General features: G+C 39.0%; 1 protein-coding gene across 1 annotated transcript in view, besides 2 other annotated features; it reads right to left on the bottom strand.

Moving 5' to 3' along the window:
* Window positions 400–899: an enhancer, noted in NCBI's record as "H3K4me1 hESC enhancer chr13:100219097-100219596 (GRCh37/hg19 assembly coordinates)". NCBI's record gives its function as "activates a minimal SCP1, AML or CMV promoter by ChIP-STARR-seq in naive H9 embryonic stem cells {active_cell/tissue: H9 hESC(naive)}" and the evidence as "EXISTENCE:reporter gene assay evidence [ECO:0000049][PMID:30033119]".
* Window positions 3,694–19,735, bottom strand: part of TM9SF2 (transmembrane 9 superfamily member 2) — a 62,577-nt gene continuing 46,535 nt past the window's right edge. The window contains exons 12-17 of the mRNA NM_004800.3: window positions 18,520–18,577; window positions 15,416–15,575; window positions 13,287–13,438; window positions 12,095–12,206; window positions 8,208–8,379; window positions 3,694–5,051 (exon numbers count right to left, since the gene is read on the bottom strand). Coding sequence (NP_004791.1) covers window positions 4,984–5,051; window positions 8,208–8,379; window positions 12,095–12,206; window positions 13,287–13,438; window positions 15,416–15,575; window positions 18,520–18,577 — 722 coding nt within the window. The 3' untranslated portion in view covers window positions 3,694–4,983. The remainder of the gene's footprint in view (window positions 5,052–8,207; window positions 8,380–12,094; window positions 12,207–13,286; window positions 13,439–15,415; window positions 15,576–18,519; window positions 18,578–19,735) is intronic.
* Window positions 19,318–19,367: an enhancer, noted in NCBI's record as "active region_7954". NCBI's record gives its function as "activates an Ori minimal core promoter by ATAC-STARR-seq in GM12878 lymphoblastoid cells {active_cell/tissue: GM12878}" and the evidence as "EXISTENCE:reporter gene assay evidence [ECO:0000049][PMID:35858748]".

The following is a 19,735-nucleotide window of genomic DNA, read 5'->3' as shown; positions in this document are numbered from 1 at the left end:
CTATATTAAAATGCTTTGTCTTGATGTTTTTATCAGGTCTAAAACAAGGCTTTTGGCAACATGAGACTCATACTTGGTCCAGAACTTTGAAGCAGCTGCATTTGAAAGACTTTTAGGTTTTCTTCGCTTGTCACCAAAATCTGTTACAAATTCCAATGTGCAATAGAATTTGTGTATTAAAACAAATTTATATGACCAATGTCTGAAATAGTTTGCTTAAGGAAGCCCTTAATCACTTCTATGTGTCTTAAGAAGTTTTAAGGTTACGATTTTTATGCTTTCGTCACACCTATAGGAGGGCTTTTTCTTTTTGTTTTTTTGAGATGGAGTTTTGCTCTTGTCACCCAGGCTGGAGTGCAATGGTCTGATCTTGGCTCACTGCAACCTCTGCTTTCTGGGTTCAAGTGATTCTCCTGCCTCAGCCTCCCGAGTAGCCGGGATTACAGGCACCTGCCACCAAGGCCAACTAGTTTTCGTATTTTTAGTAGAGACAGGGTTTCACCATGTTGGCCAGGCTGGTCTCGAACTCTCGACCTCAGGTGATCCACCCGCTTCGGCCTCCCAAAGTGGTGGGACTACAGGCGTGAGCCACCGTGCCCGGCCAAGAGGGCTTTTTCTAATTTCCTGGATAGATCATATGAGCAGGTGGTTTGGCATGGATGGCTTGGGTCACGGAGGGAGATGGACAGCGCAGGGGTGTGGTTTGTGGCAGCTCTAGCAGGTTCCCCTGCGGAGGAACATGCCTGGAGCAGGGAACCAGCCAGCGTCGCTGCAGCGGTGCAGGAGGACGTCACCGCAGGCGCCATGGGTGGAGGGGGTGGGCAGGAAGCCATGGATCTGAAGACTTGGAGGATACTCGGTGACCGACTGAAAGGGGCACCCAGGGGACCTGTGAAGCTCCGCTCAGGGGATGAAGCAGCTGACGGCCCCACCGGAGACGGGGCCTCTGGGGGAGCGGCAGCTGGGGACGGAGGGCAGGTGCGCTCACTTTTGTACACCATGAGCTTAGTGTTCCCGAGGACCACGCAGGCTGTGCAGCAAGCAGGTGCTGTGAGTGGAGATGGAGGCGCTGACTCTAAACACGAGAGTGAAACTGGACAGAGAACACCAAGTGAGAAGTAGGTCAAAGAGGGAAAGATGGAATAGGGCAGCAACTCCCGCTGGGGGCAGAAGTGGAGCCCCCAGAGGAGACTGACAGAGGCGGAATTGAGGGGAAGAGAAGTGGGTAAGCAGCGTCTCCTGTTTTAACGCACTTCTCCAGAACACGTGCAGGGCAAGCACATGTTTGTGACAATCTTCTTGCGATTCTATGAGGAAGGTTCAGACCCAGACTATGAGGAACACGGCTTTCAGGACAAGGTTTCCAAGAGAGACTGAGTGTCGTGTCAGTAAAGAGCTGGTAAAATTAGGGCTGGACCAGGTGGTGGGGGCGCTGAGGAGCTCGGCAACAAGGTTACCAGCAGAATCCTCGGAAAACAAGAAGCCGATGGCAAAGCCAGGTGGGAGAGGCAAGGAGAAGAGGGAGAAATCGGTCAGACGGGTTGTTTTCACTAAAAATGAAAAAAAAAAAAAAAAACAACAACTAGCAGAAAGTTGGACGTGTTTTAAAATGGAAAGCATGGAGAGGGAGGGTTTAAACACAGAAGGGAAAATAAAGAGGAAAGACTCTCGAACAGACAGGAAGAAGGCGGGGTGAGGCTGTAACTAGGTTCGAGGTGAAGGTACAGTTGGAGAAACTGTGGGAGACACCAAGGGGCTACGGCGCTGCCCGAAAGCTTGGGCGGCCTTCTTGATGTGCGGGGCAAGGAGGCAAATGCAGACAGAATGCCGCCCTTAGCCGGCGAGCAGGACGACCCTGCGGCACGGCTGGGTCTCTAGAAATGACCTGGGCAGATAGAAGGCATGGGAATGGCAAAAGGCCATTTCTCCAGCAGGAAAACACTGCAGTTACCTAGCTTCCCGGTCTTGGCTACACGTCCCCCTCCTTCGCAGCTGCCTGCGGCTATCATGACTCATGGAGGAGACTTCTCCCCGGGGTTCCTGGTCACTGGGGTCTCACAACATGCGCAACGCAACTGTTTCTGTCCCGGGCCACACTCAAGCTAAGGAGACGGACCCCTGCTTCTAACCGCCTGCCATGCTGAGGGACGCTTTCCTGGAGAACTTTCTGGGAAAGCCGCAGCAGCGCACCCCTCAGGACGGCGGGATCCAAGCCCTGGAGAGGGGTCTTTTCTCCACCGCCCTCCTCACTTGGCAGGCCTTCCTTGTCACTGTCTCCTTCCTCGGCTTTCCACCCTCCCTCCCTCCTAAGTCTTTTCCTTTATCACTCCAATTTCATTTTCCCAACTGCCTCTCCACTGTTTACGTGTGAAATACGGTTACTTAAATATATGAAGAAAAAGGCCGGACGCGGTGGCTCACGCCTGTAATCCCAGCACTTTGGGAGGCCGAGGTTGCGGCGGGGTGGGGGGGTGGATCACTTGAGGTCAGGAGTTCGAGACCAGCCTGGCCAACATGGTGAAACCCCGTATCTACTAAAAATACAAAAAATTAGCTGGGCGCAGTGGCGGGTGTCTATAATCCCAGCTGCTCCAGAGGCTGAGGCCGGAGAATCGCTCGAACCCACGAGGCGGAGGTTGCAGTGAACTGAGATAGTGCCATTGCACTCCAGCCTGGGCAACAAGAGTGAAACTCTGTCTCACAAACAAAACAAAACAAAACGAAGAAAAAGTTACACCAACTCTATCAGCTGACTTTTAAATCACTAAGCTAACTGTTCACTAAAGGAAAAATAAAATTGAAGAAACTTAACTTTGGCCAATAAAAACTAATCTGGTGTCTCAATCAGGATTTTTAAAAACTAAAACCTTCTCTTTGTTGAGTCAACCAGCCTATCTCAACAGCTCCCTAAGAGAATTACAGTTGGCCTTCCTTATCTGGGGGTTCTGCATATGCAGATTTAAGCAACAACAGATCAAAAATGCTCGAAAATAAATTTTAAAAAACCAATACAATAAAAATACAAATGGAAAATAGAGTATAACAAGTATTTACAGAGCACTTACATTGTATGAGGTATTGTGAGTAAACTAGAGATGATTTAAAGCACATGGGAGGATGTACATAGATTATTTGCAAATACTTGCCATTTTTATATCAAGGACTTGAGCATCCATGGATTTTTGGTAACCACAAGGGTTCTGGAACCAATCTCCCATAAATACTAAGGGACAACTCTACCCATAAAAAATAAATACAAGAGATACATAAAACTGAAAGAAACTCTTCTATCTTAAATATTCCATGTTAAAAATGAACAGAGCTCCTCCTTTACTCTTCAAAACCAACAGGTCCGTTTTTTTAAAAAAGGACAGTGACATAAAATTATTCAGTAAGGCTGGGCGCAGTGGCTCACACCTGTAATCCCAGCACTTTGGGAGGCCGAGGCGGGCAGATCACCTGAGGTCAGGAGTTTGAAACCAGTGTGACCAACATGGAGAAATGCCGTCTCTACTAAAAATACAAAATTAGCCGGGCGTGGTGGCACATGCCTGTAATCCCAGCTACTCAGGAGGCTGAGGCAGGAGAATTGCTTGAACCTGGGAGGCGGAGGTTGTGGTGAGCCGAGATCTCGCCATTGCACTCCAGCCTGGGCAACAAGAAGGAAACTCTGTCTCAAAAAAAAAAAAAAATTATTCAGTAAGAACCCAGCAATATCATATAAGTGACAGCTAGTAATTTTAGTTGTAAGTTTAATGACAGTATCTGATTTGCTCTCCTAAGCAGCAAGCAGAGAGACCCTAAAATACAAATGAATATGCTCACAGATACAAGCAGACCGATACTTCAGAATCACCCCCCATTCCTATATTCTACATAAATGGATTTCAATTAGTCAGATGAATGTGAAAGACAGTGCATTTCTTAACTCTTAGAAGTAAAACTGTTTGTGAAATCTAAATTAAAACAATGAAATCATAAAGATGAAGACTTGCTAGTGATTGCTAATGTCCAGGTAATAAAACCTGACTTAAAACACTGTATTTTGAAAAACAAGTCAAAAATAGAAACTCCTTAATGACAATGTAGTAAGGCTCCACCTTAAGTACTTGCAGATAATTCATCTGTCTAGATATGCATGACTTCAACCTCCTCTACTGCCTCACAGTGAACATTTTAGACAATGCCTTACACAGTGAAATTCCATTCAGATCAAAACTCAGAAAGTGTTACATTAACAAAATCCAGTAAAATCTGATAAAATAGTATAAATCATTTCAAAACACCTTGGTAAATAGATCTGTATTTACAGAACCTCCTTGAATATATAATAGGTAATGATGCAATGAAGACATTTTTATAATATTTATTAAGATAACAAATTTATAAATTGAAAGACTCAGAGGCACATAGTTTAAAAGGCCAATACCATGGGAATAATGAAGTCAACACAGAAAAGTAAGAAGATATGAACAGTTACAACCAATAGAAGATTTTCTTTAAAAGCCACATTCCCCTGGTGAACACATCATAGGAATCATCCTTCAAAATTACCATGATAAAAAGTTATTTCCTTCAAAGAAAAATAATTCTTTCTGCCTACCGAGCCTAGAAAATCCTATTTACAATGCAGTGTCCTGCCTTTCATCAGTATTATTTAATATGGCCTCCTCTATTCTGCCATTAGAAGTATGGAAAATTTTATAGCTACTGTATTTACAAATGCACATAATATTTAAATTTGCTCTTCATTGAGAACAACCAAATATATACTTAATCAAATCACAATACAAATGCTTTATAGTGTTGAAGACACATCTTATGGGGGAAAGGTGTATGGGAAGAGGTTTATTTAGAATTACGGTGTTTCTGAAGGATTACTAGGCCAATAATTCTGATAAAACTCAAGGCAGTCACAAAAACAGGTCTTTGTTGATGAAGAGTTTAATTTATTTCTGTTTTAACTGGACACACTGGACTTCTTCAGTCAACCTTCACCACACTGTATATTTTGGTAACAAACCAAAAGCATGCAAAGAAGCCAATTGTTCCTATAAGAGAAAAAATAAAAATAAACCCCTTTTCAAAGGAAGTTTCATACTTTACACAAAAATACAGACTTACAATGACTGGTTCCTTAAAAAAGTCGCAAAACTATAAACTATTACCCACCGGGAATATACTACAGATCTATGAGCACGTCTGAAAAATATACGACCACCTCAAATCAAGTTTCTTACAAAAATTGGTAGAACTTTTTTCTACTATAAGATTACCTAAGCTTTCTACAATACACATTATTTTCCTTACTACATAGAAAAGACTGAAGGATGTCAACTGTCCTTTCCTATTTAAGAATATTTTACAACAAAATGGAAAACGCTACTAGAATTTTTTAAGGTATGAGATGAATACATTAAAACAGGTTCAAATAATGATTAAATGGGGATATTTTCTAAGTACAGTTATTGGAAGTTATCAGTCTTCAAAGAATTATAATAAAATAACTCAGTAAGTTTTTACAAAATGTTAAAAGTGACATGATTAGATAGTAACAAAAATGCATCCTAGCTGAAAATGAGGGACAGCATGGTAGCAGAGAACAGAGCAGCTCTGTCACAAACTGTGTGTGTCATCCTTGGGCAAGTCCACTGACATCTCCAAGCCCATTTATCATATTAACTAGGGAGAAATTTATCTGTCCTCATTGCCTCCATAGACTATTATGTAGAGTAAATGAGATAATTCATGAAAACAATGTATGGCTTGATTTTCAGGTATCAGTCTAGATTCCAAAGAATTTGAATGCTAGATGGGGACACTCTTTCAATGAGACAAAAATGAGGTTCAAAGGGGTTAAGTGACTGTCTCATGGTCACATGGATGGTACTTGTGGCCAGAAATCAAATGCGTTTTTTCTGACTTCAAGCATAGTACTCCTTGCACATGCACACATAAGGGACTATAAATAATCCTTGTATAAATTTTACATTTAAAGTCCCAATAGTTTTCACCATTGTTTTAAATGCAGTACTCTGAGAAAATATTAAAGGAGATTTTCTAAATCAAGAGACTATACATGGGACATTACCGTGGGAAATTACAAACATCATTATATCCATCCTTACATTGTACATGTATTGAGGCCCTACTATATGCAAAGCACAATGTGTGTTTTGGAGGACATACAAATATACCTTTTGCATAGTCAAAAGGATAATTATTCAGGCTAGGGCTGGGGTTAATTTCAGAAAAGCAATAATGAAAACTCAGTATATTTATATAACTTTGTACTTACTTGCATAAATTTCAAGATGACAAACAATATTTTAAGATGAGAAGAACATTTAATCACTATCCAGGCAACTCTAAGAAACTTAAGTTTAGTTACTTAATTTTGTTCTTAATATGGAATATATGTACGTACTAAAAGTGGCGTCTTTCCTTTTGTGACAGAATAATTACTTCTGTTTTGTAAAATGGATTGACTTAAATACAATAAAATGGCATTGCTCTGGAGTACTGAAGCAAATACAGACCATACCCTATTTTAGAGAAAGGTAAGGCATTTAAAGGGCTCACTACTCCCTTATCCAGAATGCTTCCACCTGTTCACTAAAGGAAAAATACAATTGAAGAAAGTGAAATACACTATAAGTTACTGGTTTAACTGGTTGGTTCCATTTGATATGACTCCATAATTCAGATTACAAAATTCAACTCTGAATGAATGAAAATATAACACTTTAAAAAACAAAATCAGCTGGGCGCAGTGGCTCACGCCCAATCCGAGCACTTCGGGAGGCCAAGGCGGGCAGATCGTCTGAGGTCAGGGGTTCGAGACCATCCTGGCTAACATGGTGAAACCCCATCTCTACTAAAAATAAAAAAAATTAGCCGGGCGCAGTGGCGGGCGCCTGTAGTCCCAGCTACTCGGGAGGCTGAGGCAGGAGAATGGCGTGAACCTGGGAGGCAGAGTTTGCAGTGAGCTGAGATCGCGCCACTGCACTCCAGCCTGGGCAAAAGAGTGAGACTCCGTCTCAAAAAAATAAAAATAAAATAAATAAAAATAAATAAAATTTAGGTGATGGTTAAGCTATCATTTTCTGTATCATATGTCTGGAAAAACAACAGATATTCACAATGATCGTTATTTTTTGTGTGTAGGCTAGGAATAAATTATTCTGTATATGCATTTATGGACACACAGGGCACAAAAACAGTCATTCCTTGTTTCACTGGCTACTGCTGTTTTATAGATGATTTATTAAAATTTACAGCTCTGGACCTAAATTTATCACGTAGCACCAAGACACGCACCCCACCATGTCTGATCAATGACCTGGAATACAGAATCGATGGAAGTGCCTTAAGCCTGAGACAGCAGCAGAGGCCCTTCAAAACCCGACTCCAGGCTCTGAAATGCTAACAGATGAGTGAAAAGTAGAACAGTTTTAATTGGAGGAAAAAAACTTGTTCTTTTTTCTTTTTGGCTCCTGCATTTTCTTCCATGACATGCGTGAGGAGCTAACATTTTAGATGCACGCTTCGGGCAGCGTTACTTGTGACAAAGGAAGGTGCTATAATTCCTAAGTTCAGTCACTCACGCGACAAATGTTTACCAAGCACCCGGGGCTGTGAGATACCGAAAACTTTCATCTAGTTGGATAGAGAAGATATATACATATATAAAATAAATACCAATAAAATACACACTATATCCTGTTCAATGCTTGAATTTTAAAGTGGAGATAAAAGCTTCTAGATTAAGGAATGTCCCATTATCTTTCCTTGATATCCCCTACCTACTCTCAGCCTCATCTTGACTTCACCTCCTCAATTTCTACTTACTCCTAAACTTAAGTCACTATAGCTTCTACCCTATTTCTGAAGTGGCAAAAAAAAAAAAAAGGACTGTGTGTACCTTTAAGAGGTTAACAGACGAAAACCATGAGCTGTACTGGCCCATGCGTCCCTGAACCTTTACCACAATTATGACCCTGTTTAGCCTTCTTCCCCAGCTTCTGTTTCATCATCTTTATGCAACTCACAGGTGGGCAGACCCAACTATGCCTAGTTGTGCTGAGGACTAAATATGGGAGCACTAACAGAATAAGCCTTCATGGGTTTTAAAAAAGACAAACATTTATAAGTTATTTGTCTAAAAACTTACAAAATAAAAATAATCACTTAAATTATAATTTTACCTGTAAAAAGAAAGAAGATCAAAACCATTATCATGGTATAACCAAAGTACAGAATTGTGCTTGCTGTTCCCGTGATCTGCAGTTTTGAAAAGAAGTAGTGTACTGCATAGATTAAGAAATAAACTGCAGTAAAGCCACTCGTAAGGAATGAACGCCATTGCCAATGATAATCCTAGGTAGTAAAGAAAAAAGAACAAGAATTACATTCCAATTAATAGATAAGATGTAGCTTACTAAGGTTCAAAGCAAGCATAATAAATGAGACAGCCCCCAATCTAATTTCTGCTATCAGTTCCAGGCTCTTTCTCCTATTGAACTTCACCCATTCCACTCTCCTCACTAAAGGTGCTAAGAAGCACCCACTGTCTTTGGTGGGGCTGCTTAAAAACTGGCTAAAAATGTGTGGAAGCAGCTTAAACTGTTTATGAATAATAAAACATTAGGCTGTATTTCAAAATTTATTCTTCCCAAAGAAAAGCGATGTGCAAATAGCTTACAACTTACTCACAGGGCTCGACATTAATACTACTTGTATTAAAGTCTGGTCAACTCTGTATTAGGAAGAAGATTATTCTACTAAGGCCTGGTTGGAATCCAATTTCAGCTATTACTAACATAATTTAAACAAGGCAGATGATTAAAATAGCTCTTCTTGCTTTTAAGTGGCTTATAGCTTAACAGAAGATCTTTTAAAAGAGAACACTTCACTATCTCTCTTGCCCTTTGGAATATGTGAAAAACAAATATATTCGAAAAGCAAACTGAGACTAGAAAATCCTAAATACACACACATACACACACACACACACACAAAATGCAACAGCTAATCAACAAATGCAGCAAAATTGCAGGGTATAAGATCAACATACAAAAGTCGGTTTTGTTTTTACACACCAGCAATGAGCAATCTGAGAAGAAAATTTAAAAACCCAATTCCATTTAAAATAGCACCCAAAAGAATAAAATACCTAGGAATAAATTCAACCAAGGAAGTGGAAGACTTGCACAATGAAAACTCTAAAATTCTGCTGAAAGAAATGACAGAAGACCTAGGCAAATGGAAAGACATCCCATGTTTACGTACTATTAGACTTAACACTGTTAAGACAGCAATACTCTTCAAAATGATCTACAGATCTAATGTAATCCCTATCATAATTCCAATAATCCAATGATTCAATTTTTGCAGATTGGAAAAGTTAATCCTCAAATTCAAATGGAATTGCAAGGGGCTCCAAATAGTCAAAACAATCATAAAAAAGAGCAAAGCTGGAGGACTCAGCCTTTTTGATTTCAAAACTTACTACGAAGCCACAGTAATCAAAATAGTGTGGTACAGGCCTAAGGGCAGCATATAGACCACTGGAATAGTATTGAGAGTCCAGAAATAAACCCATACATCTATGGTCAATTGATTTTTGACAAGATTGCCAAGACCATTAAATGAGGAAAGAACAGCCTCTTCAACAAATGGTGCTGGATAACTGGATATCCACACGTCAAATAATGTAGCTGGACACTACATCACACAAAATACAAAAGCTAACTCAAAATAGATCAATGACTTAAATACATGAGGTAAAGCTATAACACTTAGAAGAAAACATGGGGGTAAATCTTCATAACCTTGAATTTGGCAATAATTCTTTTTTTTGGTCGGGGGTGGGGTAGGAGACAGGGTCTCACTCTGTTGCCCAGGTTCTGGAGTGCAGTGGTGTAATCATGGCTTACTGAAGCCCTCCTGGGCTCAAGTGATCCTTCCACCTCAGCTTCCCAAGTAAGCCATCACACCCAGCTAATTTTGTTATTTTTTATAAAGACAAGATCTCACTATGTTGCCCAGGCTGGTCTCAAAATCCTGGGCTCAAGCGATCCTCCCGCCTCAGCCTTCCAAAGTGTTGGGATTAGAGATAGGCGTGAACCACCACACTCAGCCCTAATTTGATAATAATTCTTAGATATGACACCAAAAGCATAAGCAACGGAAGAAAAAAAAACAGATACATTTGACCTCATCAAAATTTAAAACTTTTGTGCAAAGGACATTATCAAGAAAGTGAAAAGGATAACCTATAGAACCAGAACTGCAAATAACAATCTGATAAAGATCTACTATTCAGAATAAATAAATAAACTCTTACAACTCAACAAAAAGACAAACAAATTTAAAAATAGGCAAAGGACTTGAATAGCTATTTCTCCAAAGAAGATATACAAATGGCTAACAAACACAAGTACAAATGCTCATCATTAGTCACTGTGGAAATGCAAATCAAAACCAGAATGAGACACCGCTTCACACCCACGAAGACAGCTACAATTTTTTCAAAAATGGAAGGTAAGTGTTGGCAAAGATACGGAGAATTGGAACCTTTGTACACCACTGCTGGTGGGAATGTAAAACGGCACAACCACTGTGGAAAAGTTTGGTAGTTCCTCAAAAAATTGAACAGAACTACCATATGACCCAGTGATTCCACTCCTAGATATATACCTCAAAACCAAAAACAGGTATTCAAACGAACACTTGTACATGAATGTTCACAGCAGCACTATTCACAACAGCCAAAAAGTAGAAACAATACAAATGCCCACCAATGGATAAATGGATAAACAAATTTATCATTCTGCCATAAAAAGGAATGAAGTGGCCAGGCGCGGTGGCTCACGTCTGTAATCCCAGCACGTTGGGAGGCCGAGGCAGGCGGATCACGAGGTCAGGAGATCGAGACCATCCTGGCTAACATGGTGAAACCCCGTCTCTACCAAAAATACAAGAAGCAATTAGCCAGGCATGGTGGCAGGCGCCTGTAGTCCCAGCTACTCAGGAGGCTGAGGCAGGAGAATGGCATGAACCCGGGAGGTGGTGCTTGCAGTGAGCTGAGATTGCACCACTGCACTCCAGCCTGGGCAGCAGAGCGAGACTCCGTCTCAAGAAAAAAAGGAAAAAAAAAAAAAAAGGAATGAAGTACTACTATACATGCCATGATATGATGAACCCTGAAAACATGCTAAGTCAAAGAAGCCACACACAAAAGGTCACATATTATATGATTCAATTTGTAAGAAATGTCTGAACAGGCGAAACAGACAGAAAGCAGACCGTTGGCTGCTAAGGCCTGGGGGAAGTGAGGAATGAGGAGCAACTGCTCAGCAAGTATAGGGCTTTAATTAGGGGTGATAAAAATATTTTGGAACTAAACAGAGGTGGTGGTGGCGCAACACTGTAAATGCAGTAAGTGCCATTAAACTGTCCACTTCAAAATGGTTCATTTTCTGTTATGTAAATTTAACCTCCATTTTTTGAATAACACACTAAGTTTAATAAAGTTAGCTTTTTCTCCAATATAGACAATATTAAATAGTAGATTTAACACAACCTAAATCTTTAAAATTCAATTCTACCTATTACATAAGGATACTATCATTTTGGTGCTGCCATGAATAGAACTCATTACAATGTGATTATAGAAACTTTTTAATGAATTTTCTTACTAGTTTACTTTTATTAAATTTTCAGTCTAAAATTTTTTTTGTATTTTTTAATAGATTATTTTATATTCTTTTATCTCAGGCATGATATAAATATTTGTATCACAAAAGTATTAATTTTTAAGTCAGTTAAAAAACAACAGTAAAAAGTTAGCACAACATACTATTCTCAGAAAATTAACAAGTTAAAGTCTCTAATAGTAATTTCCAACTAAATATACTGAACTGGGATATCTTAATCCTAAAGAAGGTTACATTTGATTTAGGAATACAGGTCAATGTCTATCATAATAAACATACATCTACAGAAATTATTTTAATTAATAATATACAAATTGCAATATGCCAAAGTTACTGTCTACAAATTAACATAAGTGAATACTGCTAATACATACCTCTGCACATAGGTGGAAATAGCAAAGAAGTATAGTTGCTTCAGAACAGGTAATAACCAAAATGATAAACACCAGAAATAGGAAGCCAAACATGTAATACATCTGGTGTGACCTATAATCAAACACGTCAAGAAGGAACTATAAATATTTTCAATTTGACACAATACATAACACAATCTTTTCATTCTTCTTGAACTGAAAAGGTTTGCTTTTTCTCTCAACTAACCAAACAAGACGAATTATCACAGGTTGGGATGGTGATGGGGTGGGGAAGGGGAGGAGTAGGAAGGATATGTCAGTATCACTGGACTTTACCTTCCTGCTCAGGGAGGCCTGAAACTTCTACTTATTTACATATGGCTAGACTACTCGTCTCCTGGTGAGCCAGAGATATTTGATAAAAAGTGACTGAAAAGGCAGAGCCAACTAAGAATAGGTAACCGTTTCTTATCACATATAATAAAACCAGTTGAATTTGGAAAATTAGTATAACGATTAAGAAGCAAAGATATGTTCTAATCATTAAAAAGCTCAAATTTAGTTCTAACTTTCTGTAACCTCCAACCTTGGTACTTCCTGTAACATACGTCAATGTGATCCAATAACAATCATGATATAACACTATATATAGATATACACACACACAGAATGGCTCAAAATGACTATTATGAGTTTTTACATGTGAACAAGCAATCGGAGAATGAAGGCATCTGAGAATTGCAAAGGACTCTGCAGGTCACCTAGACCAATCCCTTCACCAATCCCCTCCGACAAGTGCTCAGAGGATCTTCTCTGAACAGTGCAGATTAGTTAGGAACATAGGTTTGGAGAAACTTCGGTGAATTTTCTGTCACAGGGTTGCTGTGTAACACAAGCAAATTACTCAACTTACAAAGCCTCATTTACAGCTCTGTAAAATGGGGATAACACTCACCTCACAGAGAATGAAGTAGTAAGAATTAAGGAAGAGTAAGAATTAACAAGCCTTGAATTCATATTATACTAGCTGTTATCACTATTGTTCTTCTTCCAACATGGAAAAGATAAAAATAAGCTTTTGGCTTTTAAGATTTCTGGTTACTGAAGAACTGCTTACATTTACAGGATACAAATAGTAACCCATATAAACAAACAAAAAGGAAATATTACATATAATGGTAATGAGAATGAGAGGACTTTATCCTTAGCTTACCAAATACTATTCAGAATGAAGAAAAGTTGTATAAAGATGCAGCCAAAGGGCAAAATCCCTCCCATGATAATACCAGGCAAGGGCTTCGTGTAGAACGACTGTTCAGGAATCTGACGTGGAATCTGATTGGTTCGAACTGGGTGTTCAATGGCCTTCAGTAAAAAAAGGAAGGAAGAATTCATAATTACGTATCTGTCTCAAATATTCTTCTCTACACGAGATTATTTGCCTGCTTTTTTTCAGCTTCTATGTTGTCACTAATGGCAATAAAGTCTACTTAAGACATCAAACTGAAATTTGTCTTTGGAAGCCATCATCCAGGTACCATCAGGTACAATACTCAGTCTGTCTACTGGAACAAGTTAATACTGTCTCCAGCAGTGATCTACTGACTAATGGCTTTAGACACAGGAAAAAGTACACAGGAGATAAGAGAATACTTGGAAAATAATAGTTAATAAAAAGGTAGAGTTAGGCTTTTCATTTTCATTACACATGTACTGTAAGAAATCAGCTGGTTCTGGAATTTTGGTCCATGTATTTTTATTTGGAGGTGCGCAATGTCATCTTTACTAAAATTGCTCAATTTTACTAAGACTTAAGAACATGAAAACAACAATGAATGGCTGTATGAAGCTTTACGACCATAAGGAGTTGGTGATGTTCTCGACTATTCTCCCTTTCATGACACACTACATGGCGGTATAAAAATCACTGGAACCTAAAGGACACAAGCAGCCACATGAGGGGGGAAGACAGTACAGATGTAGAAAGTCATTTCCTTGTAAGAAAGTTCAAAAATATCCTTCTATAGTTTTTGTGATGATAAACCAAAATTTAAAACTTGATATTTTCATTAAGACCATACTTCCACAGACTAGATTATTATTTTACATGTAGATGCATGAGTATACAGGCAGAGAATCATGTATATCAACTTTTATTTATTTCCAAGGCTGATATTAAATAGAAATACTATAAACTTCAAACCAGCAAAGTTTTGGAATTTCAAGTAATTGTTTAATCAATGTAATTAAAAAATTCAAACCCTGTCAGTTCACTACTTCTGAGGTATAAAGTCATAAATTAAACAAAATGCCGAAGAAGTTTAAAAAAATCCTTCAGCAGCCAGGCATGAAAGTGCAGTGGAGGCTGTGGAACAGTGCCAGCTTCTGCCAGGGCCTTCCGGGTCCTGCTCACAAAGTGTACTAACCACACAGTCTTTCTTTTACCCTGTGGACTTGATATTTTCAGAGGACAGGGATACTGAAGTGCGGTTAGAGAAGGATACTGATGAGACAGAAGAATAAGATCTCGTTTTTGTTTTTCTTTTAGCCTGAGGGCAGGAGTGGGCAGCAAAGTGAGAGAAGGCCGACTGGAGGGTGAGAGGGAAACTGGAGGAAGGACTGAAACCTGATTATAATCTTCCTTAAAATCCAATATTAGCAGGGAAGCAGATACAATTTATTTCCAGCAGATACAATTTATTTCAAAGCTACATATCAACCACAAACATTTGCTACTCTTACTCTGCAGCTACTTTTCTTACAGTGACTTCTTCTCTGCTTACTTAGCTAAGCTTTGTGCACTTTGGGAGGCCCAGGCAGGTGGATCACCTGAGGTCAGGAGTTCAAGACCAGCCTGACCAACGTGATGAAACCTTGTCTCCACTAAAAATACAAAAATTAGCTGGGTGTGGTGGCACATGCCTGTAATCCCAGCTACTCGGGAGGCTGAGGCAGGAAAATCGCTTTAACCCTGAAGGTGGAGGTTGCAGTGAGCCGAGATGGCGCCACTGCACTCCAGCCTGGGTGACAGAATGAGACTCCATCTCTAAATGAATGAATGAATGAATGAATGAATGTTTTCATTAGTTTATATCAGCATTTCTTTCCCAATTAATCTATATTAGCTTCTATTCACTTAAAAAACTTTGAAACCTAAGTTTAGATCTGTAACCTCTCTACCACGCTCCTAAATAATACTACTATTTTAAAAATATTCTATGAAATCCAGATCCTAAAGGACAAGTTTACATCTTTACACACTTTTATGGTATCTTTTGAGATGGCATATGCTAATTTCTGCAGCTAAAATTCACCTGAATAAGTTAACACCTATAAACTTACATTCTTCTTAAAACCAAAGTATGCACCAATAAACGTCAGAGGCACAGATATGCAGAACCAAAGGGCCAATATGGCAACCAGTGTCCCAAAAGGAATAGCTGCTGAAGATCCTTCTCCCCAGAGGATCAGATTCATTATAAAGAAGTCAGCAAATACAATCCTGAAAGACACAACAGGCTTTTGGGTAAAACCAGAGATAACAAAATGCAACAGTAGTATGTAATTAATATGACAACTTCTATGTTTCTAATATATATATACAAAGAAAGTGGAATTGCTGCATCACAGGATGTCTGAATGTAAAACTTGACTAGAAACTACCCAATTGCTCTTCAGATTGGGTTTGCCTGAGTTAAACTCCTCCCAGCAGCCTATGAAAGTCAGTTCCTTACATGTTTTCATTACACTTGGGATTGTCAATTCTGTTGTTTTAATTTGTATTTTCTATTGAAAACTGCAGCAGGCGTCTGGTGTTTGCTGGCTTTTTTGGTTTTACCTTCTGTGACGGGCTACTGACATCCACTGCTTGGTTTTCATTTGACCTGCATGTCTTGCCAAGTCATGTATGTGAGTTATTTACATATTCTACTTACTAATTCCTTGTTAAATATCTTGTCACAGTCTGTGGCTTTTTTTGAACCCAAACATCTAAATGTGTGTAGTTAATTTCCATTCAGTCTTTCTTCTGAATACATTTTTAAAAATATGGTTGTAATCATACAATAATCACTGTACTTCCCCCACACAGTTTTTAAGCGCAACCACTTTCCCTTTTATCCTTTGTGCACTCTGCTTAAGAGAAGAAAGCCTTCCCTAACCTGGGACCATGAAGATGCTCTTCCATATTTTCACACAGTAGTTACGCCTGGTGCATTTAGGTTTGACTCCACCTAGGACTGACAACTTTCTCCCTTCATGAAGAGAATCAGCTGTCCCAGCATCACTTATCTAACAGTTCCTCTGGCTCATGGTGCCACATCTAGCACGCTGCCATGGATACAGGGCCTGCTTCTGTATTCTCCATCCCAGCAGCCCCTGGACTTTCCAAACACCTTCACAATGCTTGATCTTTTCATTAAGAAACATGGCAAATTTCCATCTCTTTCGAGTTAATAATCTTGTAGGCTTGTCATATGGATTGTGCATACTTTGAGAGGTTATTTCAGGCACTGTATGGGTTTTCTGTGAATAGAGCCCTCTTCCAGCACAACTACCACTACCATTAAAACATTTAACTGGTTAATGGTGCTGTTTAGGATCTTGGAATATTAGTTGATACCTAGCCATTTTGCCAAACTCTTTTTATTAATTCTACAAGTTTTACAGTTAAAATGTGTTGGTGTTCTTTGTATACAAATAATGTTATCTATAAATAATAAGATGAAATCCACCTTTTTGTTTCCTCCTTTACTGTGAACAGAACTTAAACAACAAGCCATGAAAGAGATTTACTGAGAATGTCCCTAGTGTTTTATTATCAGTGATGTTGGTTCTGAATTAGAGATAAGATTCTTTTTAATACAAGGAAATATTTCTCTATAAATTTTTTTTAAAACCTGAAAACAATGCTCAATATTATCAAAGGCCATTTTACTGCATCTGTTGCAGTAATTATATGCAGGTGTTTATTTATGTAGAATTGTATGACTAGATTTCCTGTTATTAAATGATCCTTCTATTCCTAGGTGAACACCAAGTCCCCCTGCCCCTGAATACTTGAGTTCTTAGCACGCTCTATTTACCTGCTGGTAAACACCCACTGTTAAGAGTAGGATGAAGAACATCAATCAGAGAAGGGTTGATCAGAGACATAAAAGAAGAACCAGCACAGGATAATTTTTATGAAGCCAAAAAAGGAAGGAGTTTCAAGAAGGTATTCCAATGTTAGACAATACAGAGAAAATCGTTTCTGGATTTGAAAATGGGAACATTATTGGCAAACTTAAAAGTTTCAGTAAAATGATGGAGAAAAATACGAATGACGTGGCTTTACACTGCAAATGTTTACTGAGAAAATGAGAAGAAAGGAGTAGAGACTATTTTTTTCAAGGCATTTTGTTGGGAATAGAAAAGAAATGAGATGGAAATAAGAAGGGAAGATGTTTATGATCCCTTTTTAGGGGAGACATGAGCCTATTTGGAGGAATAAAAGAACCACATAAGCAGAACATGTGAGAAGGGAGCAATGGAAGATGTGTGAGACTAGAGGGAGAGGTGCCTGAAAAGCAAGATTCGGAGATTCTGCAGGAAATCACAGTCTTGGTAAGGACGGACACCTTCGTGAGTTGACAGAGGGAAAGAAAACAAAGGACATGGCTTGAGAAAAGCATAGAAATTTGAATAGAACCGATAACTGAGAAGAATGTGAATCTTCGGTGGAGGTGATAGAGAGAATATTTATCCCAAATGTGTATTAAAATGCTGCTGCCATCACGCTTGCATTTCTAGCCTGCAAATGGAACAGTTCTGGTTTCTAGACTTCATCATCCTTGGCTTTCTTTATTGCTGTAGCCTGTTCACGTGTCAGTTCTTGCCCACCAGAAATGTGCAGGTTTGGGAGGAAGTGGGTTTTGCTTCTAGGACCAGAACCGCATCAGATAATCGAGAGGAGAAGCAGTTCCAGAGAGTGAAGGATTTTTGTTTTGTTTTGGATTTGTGGTGGCTGCTTATTTTTTATTTTTGGTGTATATTACTTTACTTAATGGAATAAACTCTAAAAAATGGCAATGCTTTGGATAAAAATGGGAAAACATATGCTTGCCTGAACTATCTTCAGGATTCCTTCCTGTGCCTGGCTCAAAAGCTTTAAATGCAGCCTACAGAACAACATGTCAGACTGACCACTAAAAACCAAGAAACAGAAAGACTTTGAAGAGAAGGAATTAAAACATTTCTCATGTCTAAAGGTACTTTCCCCAGATAAGACATGTGGTAATCATTTGGCAAACGTTTATAAAATATTTATTTTACCCCTTTTCAAAAATTAAATTTACTTTCTTAGGTACATGATTTAGAGACACGGAGGATTAAAGACTCAACGACTGAAAATTTGGGGACTAACATGTAACTATGTTAAGAAAGTAATTCTTGAAAAATTCACTTACCCAGGACAAAGAAATGATGTTAATAAAACATTTGTTTTCCACTTCTCACCTCCAAAGGCTATAGAAGAAAACAAAAGTTGTATAAATACAGATTTTCTTTAAAGCAAACCAAATATCCATATTACAAGTCTGATATTTGCCAAACTGTCAGACAGCAATGAGTACTCATTCCTAGAAAATGGTACTAGCAAATATAATATGATATTCCTTTATTAAATAATCCAAATCTGAGACATACAGGATGGGATTCCCTAGGTAAGTCCTGCTCTAGAGAATCAGAGGCAAGTCATCAAGATCAGTTCTTCTTTTCCCCTCACAACCAAAAGAATCCTTAAATCCTGAGCCAGTATCAATCAATGGGCCTAGGCACAGGAAGGGCACACGGGATTCTCACTTATCTTGCAGTCAGTTTCAGAATTTGTTATAAAACTGGGAACCGTCAAGCCTGATGTGCAACACATTTACACTTCCACAGTAGGCCAACTCTTCCTCTAGCACTGTGGTTTCTAGGAGGAACTGTGGTTCCTAGGAGGTGCGTGTGTCAGATGAGGCAACTAAGAAGAGTAGAAGGGTTATGACCATTTGACAGACCATGTTTGCTAATATATGTTTTACTCTCCTTTGCCCCTCTCCAACTTGCTTTTTTTTCCAGTTTAAAGAATTCAAATACTGAAGTAGCTAGAGTGAAAAATGAAAGTACACGTCTGCTCCCAGTTTAAGTCAGAAATGAAACTGGCTGAGATCTCAGAACAGCTGTGATTTTTAAAAAAGTTTTAACATAGTTGATAGGCAAGTTTAAGTGCCACTTGCCCTAAAAGAAAATAATAAAATTACATATACACATAAGATCATATATATGTATCATGATTTGAACTCACAATGTTTCTGATAAACAGACTGTTATGAAATGATTAATTCTGGGTTTACTATAATTTCAGTCAAAATTCAAGTAATACAGGATCTGCAGCTGGGAGACCTGAAGGATGGGGAGGCATTAGTGAGTGGAGTGCAGATGGGAGCAGGGTGTGGGAAAGCAGGCAGCCTGTCCGAGGAACCGACAGAAAGCCTGTGTGGCTGAAATGGTGAGAAAGGGGGAGTGTGGCATGAAGTAAGGCTGGTGTGGCAGGCAAAGGGCTGACTGTATTTTGTATGCATTAAAATCCGTATGATGGCCCTAATCCTACCTCCTTTAGTAAAGGGGAAGAAAGAACTTGAC

Source organism: Homo sapiens, chromosome 13 (genome assembly GCF_000001405.40).
Source record: "Homo sapiens chromosome 13, GRCh38.p14 Primary Assembly".
In the NCBI taxonomy this organism is placed as follows: domain Eukaryota; kingdom Metazoa; phylum Chordata; class Mammalia; order Primates; family Hominidae; genus Homo; species Homo sapiens.
Note: the sequence above shows the minus strand (reverse complement) of the source record. Positions and strands in the feature narration are given on the sequence as shown.